We start from the raw sequence: 15,036 nt of genomic DNA, 5'->3' as shown, positions 1-15,036 counted from the left end.
TTCAACAGATAAAACAAATAAAATACATTCCTGTTCCACATTTTAACCATTCCAAGAACAGAGGCAGAAAAAAAAGCTAAGAAGGATAAAAGGGGGAAAAAAGGTGTAGAAAAAGAGGTGATAAAAGAAAAAAAGAAATACAGTTTGAATAGGGAGAAATGAAGAAAGAGACAAAGTGCCAGAAAAAATATTCATAGAGGGTAAAATAACAGATGTTGATAGATGCAGAGGAAGAGAAAAAGAAATGGCACGAGGTGAAATAAATAGAAATAGTTCATTTGAAATAGAGGTCTGATTCTCCCATTGAATTATTTATTTCTCCAATTCAGTAATGTTTTGTTAGACAGAATGCCAAAATAATAAAATAAATAAAATAATATCCCCTTTTAACTTTTTAAAAAAGCAAATGAATATGCCTGGATGCAATCAAAGTGAAAAATATAATTTTGCATTTTAATCTTTTACTAATATTATTTTATGCAATTTTCTGGGTTTTTTATTACAGAATTCAAATAATTTTATTGAATTAGTATATAGTAAATAGCTTAAGCATTCTATTATTTTTTAATATTTAGGTTATTTTAAGGATTATTTTTGTGTTCAAACTAAGGTTGCTTTTTTTCTTCATTTGAATTATTGGTTTAGGATAATTTGCAGGATTAGACTCCCTGGGTCCAAGACTGTGAACATTTTTATAATTCTTGACTCTTTTTGCAATGCTATTAGCAACTTGAATAAGTCTTTTCTTCCAGAGCCTGTATAGTATTGGGTTTTGTAAACTGTTAGTTTGGGCAATTGAATTAGTATCAAATGGTGCTTCCTACTTTGAACTATATATATTTCTTTTAGCGTGATGATGTTCTTTGACCATTTGTCCCTTGGGATCTTGGGGATCTTCTAGATTTGTAGTACTTCTGAATACACTTTAGATGATATTAATTTATCTCTGACCGTCCTAAGCATTTCCACCATTTAATCTCAGTTTTGATCCTGATTTTACATTGTTGTATTATGTTGTACTCTCTGACCAGTCTTCGTAATGTTTTCTATTATTTCAAAACTTAAAAAAATCCCCATAGTTGATTTAAACAGTCTAGTCTCATGGTTAGTCTGTTCCTTCTAGTTTTTAAATTTTTCTTTAAATATTTAAGTTTTTAGCTTATGTAGAAAGAATTGTTATATATGGTAAGAGATAAAAGCTTATGTTAATTCCTCACCATATCCATGACCAGTTACCTCACGTGAATTTATTAAATAATGAGTGTTTTCCCCATTGTTTAGTTATGCTTTGTACATCAAACATTCAATTCTTACATTTACTAGGGCTTTTCCCTGGTCTCAAGGTCCCATTTACTGATTTTTTTATTTGCATCAGAATTCTGCTATTTTAACTAGTGTTAGCTTATAATACATTCTAGCATTTGGTAATTGTTTTAGACTTTTGCTTTTCTAGGACTGTCATATACAATTGCTATTGTATCATTTTTGAGATAATGGATATCTTCATGTGAATTGTCTGCATTTATAAATCGACCTGTGAAGAAATGTCATGTTCATACTGTTGGTCATTACATTCAGAAACACAGTATGACTTTACATTTATTCAAATTTTTCTTTATTTCTGCCATTAAGGTTTTATATTATTTCTTTTTCTCACAACTCTTCTGTATATTGACTTATTTCCAAATATTTTAATGATTTTGCTTTTTATTTTTGTTTTGAGACAAGGTCTTGCTCTGTTACCCAGGCTGAAGTGCAGCGTTGCGATCATGGCTCACTGCAGCCTCGAGAACTCTAGTAATGTCTAATCTCTTTCAGTTAATTCTGTGGATTTTCTAGGTATACAGCAATATTGTCTAAACATTTTCTATCTTTGATTTTTAGAGTATTGAAAATAGTCTGTATGATATTATAATGGTAGATAATGTCATTATACGTTTGTCCAAACTCTTAGAATTTTTAACACCAACAGTGAATTCTAATGTAAACTGTTGGATGAATGATAATTTTGTGTCAATGTAGGGTCATCAATTGGATGTTAATAACTGGAGACGTTGTGCATGTTTTGGGGCCAGGCTATATGAGAAATCTCTTCACCTTTCAATTGGACTGTGGACCTAAAACTGATTTAAAAAAATAGTCTTGATTTAAAAATTTCCCATAGTTTCTTCCTTTCCAATATTTATTTCTAATCTATTTTTATATCTTATTGCCAAATCAAAGATTCCTCAGAAACACTAGACTTATAAATGATTAAAACACTTATTTTAGTCCAGCTTTTTGGAAAATAATGTTTTATCAATAGGTAGGTGGTTAGTTCTTTGTTTTTTGAGTACACATTTTTTATTATGTCAGAGACATAGTTCACTATTCCTGATGTTAACCATAAACAGGAGTTAGATTTTATTAAATGCCTTTGTTGGCATTTACTAGGATAATCATATATTTTTCAATATATTGATAGTTGTTGAAATTATCTTTACATTTCTTGGATAAACAATACTTGATCAAGACAAAGCTATTTTAATATATGTCTGTATTGTATTCGTAGAATTTTTGTTAAAACGCCCACATCAATGAGAGGCAGTGTGGCATACTAGATGGAGCAAGTGTTTGAGTTTAAATCCAACTGGACCTCATAGTAGCTTTACTCAGTACTGTGCAGTAGTTAAAACATGAGCCCTGTCATCAGAGAAAAATAGTGTAGAATCCTAGTTCTGCTACCTAATAACTTTTTTACTTTTAGCAAGCCTCAGTTTTCCTGTTTTTATGGGGACATAAAAATAATTACAAGGATTGTTATGAGAATTAAATGAGTTAATTTGTGAAAAATACTTAGTACAGTGCCTAGAGTAGTTCTACATTAAATGGTTACTGTTACAATTATCGTATTTCTAAGTGAGAATAGGGCTTACTTTTCTTTTTTATATCATGCTTCCATTTTTAAATTGTTCTTACCTTTTTGTATCATTTTATCTGTATCATTCTTAGCACATTTCCCTCTGAGGGCAATTTTAAGAAATATACTATACTTTTCAATAATCAAGGATAATTTGTATAATATGTTCTTAAAAGGCTTGGAAGAGAATTCACCTTGTAAATCCATCAGGCCCAGGTGTGCTTTGAAGGATTTTTTAAAAAAAATTTGTCCTGTTTTCTTCTGTATTTATTAGAATATGTCCAAATAATTCTGACAATTTTGTCCATGTGAAAAAAAAACACTGAGTTCCAGAAATTTTCTTTGCAACCTGAGAGTTATTGATCAATTTATTATCTATGCTTGCAATTTGTTTCTGCATTCAACTAGTTACTAAATTGCCTTATAGTTTCTTCTGTAAGAATACAGTCTGTAACATTTTACAGAGGGGTTACCTTGGAAGCCAACATTTACTTGATTGTTTAAACCCTTTTAACAACCAGATTCTGCTTTCTTCCTGTTTATTTAGTAGGAACCTCTGTGTTGAACCCCAAAGTCCAAATTCCCAACTCTGAATGAAAAAGACTCTTCAGGAATGAATGAATAATCAGTGTCTTTAGCTCTTGAACCACCCTTAAATGGCCAGAGGCTTCTGTATGGAATGACCACAAATACTGCTGTGGGGCTGGAGCCTGTGGAGCCATCGCTAGAACACAGCAGTAGCAAATAATACTCTTGTTGATAGGCTAGTGAGAATAATTCCACAAGTTCAAAACAGAAAAACATGTTTCACCTTTTGTCCATAGCACGGCCTTGCCTGAATGTCCAATAGCACACGTTGACTGTCTGTTTCAAAGAATAATAAATGAGTTATGTGGCTTAGCAGAGGAGTGAAAGGATAATTCTGATCGAATATGTTGAAAGTTCAAAAACTTCTCAAGACCCTGGTTCACTCATATATGCGTGAGTTTAACTTTTCACCTATGCGACATCTTTAAAAATACAGCAACATTTGTTTGGTGGTGGAGTACAATAATCGTTTCGTTATTAAACCATCACATAACTTTTAGAATTCTTTCCTACATCAAAGTTAATTATATTTATTGGAAGAACATGCTACTTGAGAGGTTACTACATCCTTACCCAGAATCCTAGCCTTACATTTGTGTAAGTGTCCATCTCAAGCGTTAAGACATAGAGCAGAAAAAGCATATCCCCTAGGTTTGTTGAAATGTTTGCTTACACACCTGCATTTGACTGAGTAGGAGAGAAGGACGGGACTTTCTTCTTCTTCTTCTCCTTCTCCTTCTTCCCTTCTTCTTCTTCTTCTTCTTCTTATTATTATTATTACTATTATTATTATTATTATTTGAGACAGAGTCTCACTCTGTTGCCCAAGCTGGAGTGCAGTGGCACGATCTCAGGCTCAAGTGATCCTCCTGCCTCAGCCTCCTGAGTAGCTGGGACTACAGGTGCGTGCCACCATGCCCAGCTAATTTTTGTATTTTTAGTAGAGACGGGGTTTCACCATGTTGGCGAGGCTGGTCTGGAACTCCTGACCTCAAGTGATCCACCTACCTTGGTCTCCCAAAGTGCTGGGATTACAGGTGTGAGCCACTCCACCCAGCCAGGGACTTAATTTTTCAATCCGAGTTGCAAGACACTGACTTTTGAAGATCCATCAGGATAGTGGTTGTCAGGTGATCTCAAAACGCAATGGGGGAACAGGCATATGTATTCTGAGACTATAATGTACATACATTATTGTAAGAATTCATCTTGCATATCAGTCAGTACACGACCCTATTTTTCCTGGGTCATGCCACCAATTATGCCTAAAGAGAAGAACAGAAGAGAAAATGTTGGCTAGCTCTAACTACTCTACTAAAATGGAAAGAAAGTAATTCCAAGGTAAGTCCACCCCAGAGAGCAAATGGGCCTTTTTAAAATGCTGAGGGGAGGGAATAGCAATTTCTTAGTGCCTTTGACAACATTCCCCAGTGGCCTGGTGGCATGGAAATTTGCCTAGCTTCATTTGTGGAGGTCATGCCACCCTGGATAAAAGGAAGGCAGTTTACCAGGCTAAACTTTGTTTATAAGGTTTCTTTCCCCTCCAGTGTGGGAAAGAGAGAATAATAAAGTCTCATTTGCAATTTTCACTGGCCAGAAATTAAAAGCAGGAGACAATGTTGAAGCTATAGTATCCCAAAAAATAGCAAATTGACCTATTTATGCCTTAAATTTAAGACAAAACAATTATTTCAGCAGTTCAATAAGATTGAGCCAGTTTTTGTGTTATTAGCAAAACCCCGAATGTCCCACAGATGTGGCTCGCAATGGTGGACAGAGGTAAGAGAGCTGGTGTTGACCCAAGCTATGTTTAATATAAAGACTCCTTTGTTGACTCACTGTGATAACAGTTCCTCATTTGTTAGAGCATTGGGTATAAAGTTATGTAACTCACCCATGCCCTTCTCTCTAGCTGACTGTGATAGCCAACACTGCCTACTTTTTGCTGTGGTAGATCTTGGGACTGCCAAAGCCACTTCCTGTATGTCAGACACATTTGACTTTTACAGCAGTTCAGGCAATTCGGCAAATTTGAAGGAAGGTGGGAAGAGGTGGTTAGGAATTAGAGTCTTTTCCCCCTTTTCTCAAATAACTAGCAACTCCTACTCTCTTGACTTATGCTATGTTTCTACCCAGTATAACAAAGTATCGGACACCATCCCTGCGCATTGTCCCAATGACTTTCACGATACTTGCCAAAACCATCGGGGGTTTTCTCAATTATTTGAAGGGCAGTTTGTACCCAGTCTTGTCCTCCCAGCCATTACCATCCTACTCTATTATCTTGCACTTAACAAACAGATTGATTTCTTGCCTAAAATTAGCTGGAGAATTCTATTTGGATCAGTCCATCAGAATTAAAAAGTATAATTAGCCTGAGAATTCACTCCACTTTTCAACCTAACTGCTGCTTAAATATCTCCTGCAATGTTTTGCACTTTGTGCAGAGCATGTAGAACTCTGTCTCTGGGTGAAGTAGCTGATTACAGGAAAGCAGCCATGAATTGCTATGAGCTTGTCACTGACGATCCTGCATATGTGTGCGTTATCAACTACAATTGTCTTCGTAAAATTAAATAAAAGCACGCATTTATTATTGTGGGGCTCCAATTAAGGGACAGCTGGTGCTCCTATTACACTTGCATTAAATCGAAACTTGTAATTTCCCTGTGCAGATGCACACTTTTTAATCAAGATATAAAATTGCATTTGCTTTGTCCATTTTCCAAAGTATCTGGAACCTTACCTCAGGGTTCCTCTTATCCTGCAAACTCCGTGGAAGAAGGGGAACAGATTGCACTGATCAGCATTTCCCTGTCTGAAATTCTTAGAGGGAAATAAACGATTGGGGCATTTATGAAAGATAAAACCCCCAAGAAGGCAGCTGGTGAGTATGAATGTATTTATTTAGCCTGTAGCGAGTGGACTTATTCATCGACTAAGATCAATTTTGAAAGGACCCATTTCGCCTCACCTGTCTGGGAAGTGTCTATGAGCGTCCCGCTGTGAACCACACTGCCTTTCTCACTGGCACTTCAGTTCCTGAAGAGCCAGAAACTTTGCACCCCTACCCCAACCCCGCCTCTGGGGATGTGTGCCTGCTTCGTTTGTTTTCGCTTTTGTAAAATCTGAGCGTTATGATTTGTCCCCCTTTCCCTTCCTAATGAAATGACAAAGGGTCTGTGCAGCGGGGGCTGGGCTGCTGGGTTTGGGGGCGAGGCGCCACACCCCCTGAGAATAAAGCCCGCGCTGCGCTCTCGGAGAACCAGGCACGAGTGAGCGAACCACACAAAGAATATATTTCGCGACGAAACAGCGCCCTACAGGAAGAAAGTGCCCGCACTCCGAGCGTGAGCCGCAGCGCGACTTTTTGGCGCTCTTTGGGAGCAGTGAGAGAGAGGCGGAGGCCAGAGAGTCCGGGGTGGGCGCGGGAGCCGGGGCGGCCCTTGGCCGCATTCCCGCCCGTCCCGCAGCGGCGCGCGGAGCCAGGTGAGGTTGGCGGCGGCGCCGCGCTACCTGGCCGGGCGGGGCGGGGCCGGGCGGCCGCGTGCGCCGCTTCCGAGTCCGGCGCTCCGGATGCCCGCCCGCGCTCCGCTGGCCCGCGGAGTTTCGCGGGAGTTTCCGTTTTGGCGCCTAAAGCCCCTCGCTGGCGCCGTTTCCCTCCGCGTGCCGCGTCTGTCCGGCGCGGGACGCACGGAGGCGCGGCCCCAGCCCGGGCTGCCTGGGGTCGGCGGGGCTGCGCGAGGGGACGTCTGGCGTCCGGCGGAGGGCACTGGCCCGGGAGGAGGGCACGCCTTTGGCAAAGGCCGGGCGGGGTTGGGACCGGGGTTGCTATGGTAGCTGCGAGCCCGGGCGGGAGCCCCACGCCCGGCCTCCGCGAGGGAGCTGGGGCGCTCCGAGGTGTGCTCCGAGTGGACTGAACCAAGAGCCTGGGAGGAGCGGGTAGGGCCGGCCCGTGGCCTTGTCCCCTCCTCCCACAGCCCGCCGGCCGGCCCCGGGAAGGGGCCTCGAGGAGCCCAGAAAAGAAAGTATTCTGGCCCCTGGAACCGAAAGGAGTCTTGCAAAAAGCACGAAGGGGTCAAGGGGGCCGAAGGGAGAGGGGGAACCGTCGCCTCCGTCCGAGAGTCAGCGTGCGCGTGTCTGTAGACTTGACATTTTATACCCCAGAGCGGCCGACTTGGAGCCGGGTTGCAAGTCCCAGCCCTGAAGTTCTGGAGGTGGGGCGGGCTTTAATTTGCTTATATCTAATGATTTCAGGAACCTCGCTTTAAAATGGCGGCATTCAGTATGCACCCCTGCTAAAGGCTCTCCCGGCACCGGGGCCACCTCGCGCAGCGCTGCTTTTGCTTCTGCCGCTAACAGATGGCATGTGCCGCTGTCGCTGCCGCTGCCCCTGCTGCTGCCGCTGAGAGCAGGGCCCCTTAGCCTCTGGGTTTGCGCTAGCAGCGTAAGGTAAGGCTGGAGATGAATTGGGATTTGTAAGAGAGGCTGCCTTCCTCGGACGCCGAGGAAATAATGCCTTTTAAACTTCATTTTACAAAATAGCAAATAGGAGGAAAAGTCATCCTGCAACTTTGTTGCGATTTTAGAGCTTTGATCATTTTCCTCCTCCTTTCCTCCTCCTCCTTTTTCTTCTTCCTTCTCTTCCTCCTCTTCTCTTCCTCCTCCCCTTCCTTCCTTCTTTCTTTTTTTCTACTTTCTTCTTTTTAATTTAAAGGAACTTCTTGCATGGCATATAATCAGCAAATGCTTTTTAACAACGAATTTCCCCATTTTCACGCGATATCGTGAGCAGTGCCACAGCTTCCTTGCAGAACCTTGTCTCTTCCTGCCCTGAGTCAACACGTTTGGGCAGCTCGCTTTTACTACTGGGGTTTGAAGGGCATGAGAGTAGATTTTAGGAGACTATTAAAAAGGGAACTTTAGTTTTTAACACTCACACAATAAGCTTTTATGGTAAGAAAACGAAATTAAACCCAGACGAGTAATGAAAGTTGACATTTAAGTGATTCTTTGTTGTGGTTTCATAATTAGGGTAATAGACCTACTGTGTGTTTTTCTGAGCACTCTTAGATAGCTAGCTAGCTAGCTAGCTAGCTAGATGATAGATAAAACAGATAAATTAATTGTGGCTCTAATTAAAGTAATATGTTTTAAAGGAGTTATTTTCTCCTAGATGTTCTTACATCGTTTGTAAATTGAGCTGGGATCCCCACAGCCTCTCCGTATTTGTGGGTAGACTTCATGGGAAAGAATCAATTAAAACAAAACTTGCAAGATTTAATTTTGAAGTGATTGGTACTTTTTTTATTAAGCGGACTCCCTGCTTTAGTGAATAAACGTTTGGGTGATTACTGATATAATGTTTGGAAAACAGATTGTTGGTATGTGGGAATGACTAAACATCCATGCTTGATACAATTTATCTGAATTTTGTTTTGTTTTGTTTCCCCCTCCAGTGAAAGGTAAATAGACAATGAGGCTTATCAGACACCTTGGATTTTTCCTGATTATATTTCCATCTTCTCCTTGGCCCATGAAAATCTAATCCTGAATGTTTAACTACTTTTTAAAATAATTTTTAACTTTTTTCTAATGTGCGATACTTTTGGGGGATGCTTTCATATTTACCAACACTTCTTCAAATATAGACTAAAATGGGCTTCTGCCCACAGCTCAGCTGATAATATTCTATCGCTGTTCACTCCTTCTCCCAAAGCAGTAGAAACTACTTGGTTGGCAGACGCTCTGCTACTAAATTTAGCAAGTGTGTGGAAAGGGAGAAAAATATTGTTTTGCCCTTATTAAAGCATGGTGCAGTTTTCTGCCCAGGTGCTGTAGTCTACCTAGAAACAAACAACCAAACTGTTTACAATGGAATTACTATACAACAAATTTTCAGCAGTTTTTCATATTATTCTTGAAAGAAGTATGTGGGGCAATTCATTGCTTCATGTCTAAAATGAGAGTTCCTGCAGGTAGAGCAATAAACACTTGCATTTTGGTAAAGGGAGGATGAGAAAAAGCAACTTCTCCCATTTTTAGTGATTATGGACTTAGATCCCAGTTCAGTACTGTTTGCTTCCGGATGTGCTACCTTGCTGCTAAAAGACTTCGGACCAAATGCATCCTTAAAAAAAAAGAAAAAAAGAAAGAAAGAAAAGTGAAAATACTAAACCTTGAGGCCAGAATAGACAAGCTAAACTGGTGTCAGAGAAATTAGGAAATTTTGCCAGTTAACATTCTGCTGCCTCATACAGTGATGAGATTGGAGACCTTATATGAAAACATAAGTGAAGGAGTTTGTAAAAAAAAAATGTTTTGAGAGATAATTGATATAGTGCTGGGCTAGAGGTGGTGACTGCATGTTTTGCTCTACTTCTAAGAGCTACTTCATTTCTCTAATTTCCTTTGCTACTTTAAGCAATCGTAATGACTCCCAGGACTATTATAAAGTACCTTTTTTTTCCTCAACTGTCCACTTCAGGCATTTCACAACAGCTGCTTTTTATGATTATGAGCTGGTAGCAAAGGACCTTTGGTATTCTCTTGCACCACCCTCTACCTAGATAATGCTTTGCACAAACTAGGTGCTTAATAAATGTTACATTAAAAAGAAGAATAGCTTATAAACTCACAGTGGAATAGATTTTGGGTACAGCTTTTAATTTAAACGGAAGGCATTTTTATGCACTCACAAGAACCTAAACATTCAAAGAAGAGTAGAATGTACATTCCCCTAGTTGTCTGCATTGTATTTGCTTCTAAAGGGTTCTCTTGCCTCTCATTGTACTTCCAGGCACTTGTATACTTCATGCTTTTGACCAGTAGGTGTATTATTATCTCTCCAGCTTCACTGTGATACTTCCCAGTATCACAGCAGCTTGGGAATAAAAAAGGTTTTGTCTTTTGAGTGATTGTATAGTACCACACATGCTGGAACAGTGACAGTCTCTTGACTGTTGTGCAGATGTTGACAGTATAGTTTAGTACAGTTTTGTTCTCCACCCAGCTGCCTTTATGTGTGAGGGACGAGGGGAGGGAATGGAGTGAGAAGCTCTAAAATGATGAAGATTTCTATTGATAACATTTTACTTTTATTCTGCTTATAGTACAATAAATTCAGGAAGGTGGCAGAATTTTTCTGTTTTCAAATAAATAATGTTGCCTGATAGGCTTACAAACAGGGATTGGGGCATAGCTGACAGTACATAAGTTATAGTACATTTTTGACAAGTAATTTCATCCTGTAATTAAAGTTAGATAATGGTCACTGCCATGTTAACATTATCAAGTGTCTGTAAGAGCATGAAGGCTACACTCACCTTTACTTCATCAAGGTTCTTCCATGCTGGTGAGTTTTCTTATGACATTGTCTACTAGGCAAAACAGATGGATTTTTCCTCATTCAAATGTATGTGATATCAAGAAAATAGAAATCAGAAGTTGTGTTTGTGGGATTTTTCTGCCTTTCTCTAGGTGTGATATAGCTCTCACTTCAAATATAGAAAGAAACCCGAGCCTCAGCTAAAATGAGATGGACACTTTTCCTGAAAGAGAAGAAACTGTGTCTGGGAGCAAGTTGTTTAATTGTCAATTAACCAACCAGCAAACAAACATAAATTATAACTGAAAGAAAGCAATTAGATCTTTCATAATGTGGGCTTTTAGGTCTTAAGGATACCAGATGGTTCCATGACATTCTGTTCTTCCTAAATGGTTATCTATTGCCTCAAGATAGCCAAATGACAGTGTTGGAAAGGCAACTTTGAGAATTAGGATAAATAAGGTATCAGTTGTCTTAATGGATGTTAATAACATCCACATGACCTGAAAGGGATAAGAAAATATTTTTTCAGATCATTGTAGTAAAAATGCATTATTAACTCATCATTTAGATCTGCTTGGTATTAGATTGAGTGACATTGTTTTTAAAAGATTGATGGAGAAAACAATACAATCTGGGAAGTAGGACCTTATCATTTTTATTTGAGAAATAATGGGACTTCCAAATTGCCTGGGCACACAAACACACACGTACATGAGTGTACAAATTAGTGGTCAATTCAAAACAATGTATACAGATGTGCATTGCTTTCTCACTGGAAGATTATAGGAAAATATTTTTACAGTATTCCTCCAATTCTAAGAATGAAATAAAAAAGTTCACTGTAAACTATTATAAATATTTGATATAGTGATGTCACTCTGAGGCTCAGGAAAAGAACCAGGGCTTTGAATGTTCAACTCCAGGCAGTTAACTTTCAGAAAAAAATAAAAAATAAAAAGATGCTTTGCTCAGAACTCAAGAGGAAGCAAGAATAAAAGGAGGCTTGATTTAAATGTGTGTGTGTGTGTGTGTGTGTGTGCGCGTGTGTATTCTCCCTTTGTATGTGTATGGTGATTTTCAGGAAGCCCAAGCATAGGACTCAGTTTGACATGCTTCCTAAAATATTATGTCAACTCTCAAGTTTTACTTGCATCAGTATTAAGTTGGCTCATGAGGAAAAGGAATTATTTGTTTTCTGATTTGAGGCAGGAGTTTGTTTTTTGCCCAGACAGTGAGTGAACTTGAAGGGCTTAGAAATAAAGGGCCTCCCATAGAGAAAAGGCAACCTGGACAGAAATGCAGGGGGTTGGCAGTAGAGACTAGAGGTCATTTGATCTCTTTAAGCCATGGGAGCATCCTGGAGTCTGATAGTTGGCTGGATTTTGTTTTCCATTTAGGATCACAAATTAGCTTAAAATTGTCCACATTGGATTCTTGAATCCTGAGCTTCTTGGCATTGCCTTCAACTGGTGTGGAAAATTGAGAAAGGTTTCCTCAGGCTTACTCAGGTTTCCTTGAATGTACCAGTAACTATTCATTAAGCAGAGGTTATTGGGTCTCTTTACCTCATATCCCTAATGCCTGGTAGATAGTAGGTTCTCAGTAAAAGTTTGTTAAATAAATGAAAGACTAGATTAATCTTTCTAACTTGTTTTTGCATGTTACGAACATTCTTCCTTGTAGCATTATTTCTGTTTTTTATTGACAAAAGAAAAATCAACACCAATAAGCAGACTGAACGCTAGATTGAATGACTGTTCTGCTAGAGGCCACAGTAGCAACTCAAGTCCAGGGAGATGCAAGCAGTGCCAGCTTTGGGGCTGAGACCTTGAGGACTGGCCTGAAAGCCAGCTGCTACTTTTCTTTCACCTGTAGTTGCATTTAGAATACCTCCCCCACATCCCAGGGATATCAGTCTTCATTACAAAGAAATGTTTACATAGAAACAGTTCTTTAACTGTTTCACCAGATTAAAAATTTAAAAAAAAAATCAGAAATACTGTGACTCTGATGCCTCCTGTCATGTATAGTTTAGGAAGTGATGAAGTTACAGACAAAATCCAAAAAGGACACTGGGAGCTGTCTCATTTTCAGTCAGATGTTGATTGCCCATTTAGAGGCTGGATTTGCATAGGTTTTTACTTACCAAGATACAGGTATGAATAGTGCCTCTTTTTATTGTGTACAGAAAGCAAAGTCCACACAGTAGAAGAGACAAGAGCTGTCATTTCAGATCCACCACAATCATCTTTTGTGCCCAGAGGATAATCAGTCTTTAGGTTTAGCGCTTGCAATTTCTCCTTATGTGGCAGTACAAAGTAACCAAACAAGAGGTTATGTTGGAGAGTGGCATGGGAGGGGTAGTCTATTAGCAAAATGAAAGAGTGAAAGAACCAGAGAGCTTACATTTCACCTTTTGTTTTGTAGTACTCAGCTTCTACGCAGGAAAGCAAAACAACACAAAACAAAAGCACCCTGTAGAATATTAACTGGACATGTATCTCGTGAAATAATTCCTTACTTAATTTACCAATGGGGAAAATGGGATTGTCACAATATATAATATTAAGGTGGTTGCTTTAAGGTTGGATTCATATACTATACACTGGTTTTTCTGAGTTCCATTTAAAATATGTAATGACAAATTCAACAAGACCCATGGCACAGAGGTGGGGATCACATTTAACCTCAGTACCCAAGTGAAGAGTTTGTATTCGTCCTCTGAAAAGTAGGCACTTGATAATGGCCCAGTTGGGGGTGCTGTTTTGTTAAAGGGTACATTGATATTTTAAAAATTGTTTGCTGTCTGTGATCCATGAGGATCCTGAAGAAAGGATGGGGGCATTTCTTTCAGAAGTGATTTTGAGAAAAAATTAAACTCCCAACTCCTTTATGTCAGCATTTTCCCCTAAGTAATTGGACAACATGAAGAGAAACCTTATTAGCTCACCCAGATATATGAAGTGAAACATAGTACATGTTATAGAGTTACATTTTATATTTAAGGACTTCCCAATAAAATCATTAGGGAGGGACTGGGGTACCATGCCTGTGTAATCTGATATGTTTCATGAATGCCTATAGCAGCGGCCTCAGCTGCAGACAGAGGCTGAGGCTGTGTCAATATGCACTCTGCTCGCTTTCTGAAGCCAGGGTCAAGGCCAGACTCAGATTGACAGGCTCGTCAAGGGAGGGCCTTTTTTGAGAAAGACCTTGGATTTTGGCGGGACTTTTTTGTGGTGTACTTTATATGTTTACATTTATTAAATTAACATTGTAATGCAAATGAAAATGTAGGGTCAAAATACATAACCTGATCTGGAGATAGTGTTAAACATCTGCATGTGAGGCAGTTTGTGAATTTGAGGCCTTAGGTAAATGGTCATCACGACATTTAGACATGACATCAGAACCAGGGAGGAGACCAGTATGAGCAGTGAAGGGCTCCATGTCTGCCTCTAAACTTAAGTTCAGGGTAGGTCCCGCTCGCCATAGAAGATGAGTTGAAAATCAGTGTTACCCATCTAAATGAGGAGGAAGGGCTAAAGCCTGTGGATTGACTAGAGGGAGGGTCTGGGAGTTCTTTTTATAAACTTATATGTATATTTTTAATTGACAATAATTGTAATATTTACGGGGTAGAATGTGATATTTCAATACATGCATACAATGTGTAATGATCAAATCAGGGTATTTAGCATATCCATCACCTCAAACATTTGTCATTTCTTTGTGTTGGGAACTTTCAAAATCCTCTCTTCTAGCTATTTGAAAACATAAACTAAATTGTTATTATCATCACCCAACGGTGCTGTAAAGCACTACAGTTTATTCCCACTATGTGGCTATAGTTTTGTGTCCATTAACCAGCCTTTGGCTATTCCCCAACCCCCACCCTTCCCAGGCTCTAGTTACCACTGTTTTACTCACTGCTTCTATGAGATCAACTCTTTCAGCTTCCACATATGAGTGAGAACATGCAGTATTTGTATTTCTGTGCCTGGTTTATTTCATGTAACACAATGTCCTCCAGGTTTATCCATGTTTTGGTGGGACTTTTGACTGACTCGCAAGTTGCCCCTCTACCCCATGTTTAATAACCTGGTTTTGCTGGGGAATTCATATAGATGCGCTGAGATTCAGTGCAGCAACAATACCAGGGCAGAATGCTTTTGCTTTCTAACTGAAACTCCCCCTCCAAAGCTCTTTTGTGATTGAA

General features: G+C 39.4%; 1 protein-coding gene across 24 annotated transcripts in view, besides 2 other annotated features; it reads left to right on the top strand.

Moving 5' to 3' along the window:
• Nucleotides 3,759-4,958: an enhancer, noted in NCBI's record as "CDK7 strongly-dependent group 2 enhancer chrX:131625860-131627059 (GRCh37/hg19 assembly coordinates)". NCBI's record gives its function as "activates an origin of replication core promoter dependent on BRD2, BRD4, P300/CBP, MED14 and CDK7 cofactors, with strong dependence on CDK7, by STARR-seq in HCT116 cells {active_cell/tissue: HCT116}" and the evidence as "EXISTENCE:reporter gene assay evidence [ECO:0000049][PMID:35650434]".
• Nucleotides 6,755-15,036, top strand: part of MBNL3 (muscleblind like splicing regulator 3) — a 120,716-nt gene continuing 112,434 nt past the window's right edge. For 11 of the 24 annotated variants that reach the window (NM_001386916.1, NM_001386918.1, NM_001386917.1 and 8 more), the window contains exon 1: nucleotides 6,755-6,976. Coding sequence is in view for 1 of the 24 variants with exons in the window: in XM_047442251.1 (XP_047298207.1) it covers nucleotides 8,441-8,443 (3 nt within the window). In the remaining 23 variants the exon portion in view is untranslated. Of the gene's footprint in view, nucleotides 6,977-7,751; nucleotides 8,444-15,036 lie in introns of those variants that run through there. The other 13 variants (NM_001386914.1, NM_001386911.1, NM_001386902.1 and 10 more) reach the window with 2 other exon arrangements.
• Nucleotides 6,904-7,473: a silencer, noted in NCBI's record as "silent region_21007". NCBI's record gives its function as "represses an Ori minimal core promoter by ATAC-STARR-seq in GM12878 lymphoblastoid cells {active_cell/tissue: GM12878}" and the evidence as "EXISTENCE:reporter gene assay evidence [ECO:0000049][PMID:35858748]".

Source organism: Homo sapiens, chromosome X, assembly GCF_000001405.40.
Source record: "Homo sapiens chromosome X, GRCh38.p14 Primary Assembly".
Lineage (NCBI taxonomy): Eukaryota > Metazoa > Chordata > Mammalia > Primates > Hominidae > Homo > Homo sapiens.
This window is presented reverse-complemented; position numbering and strand designations above follow the sequence as displayed.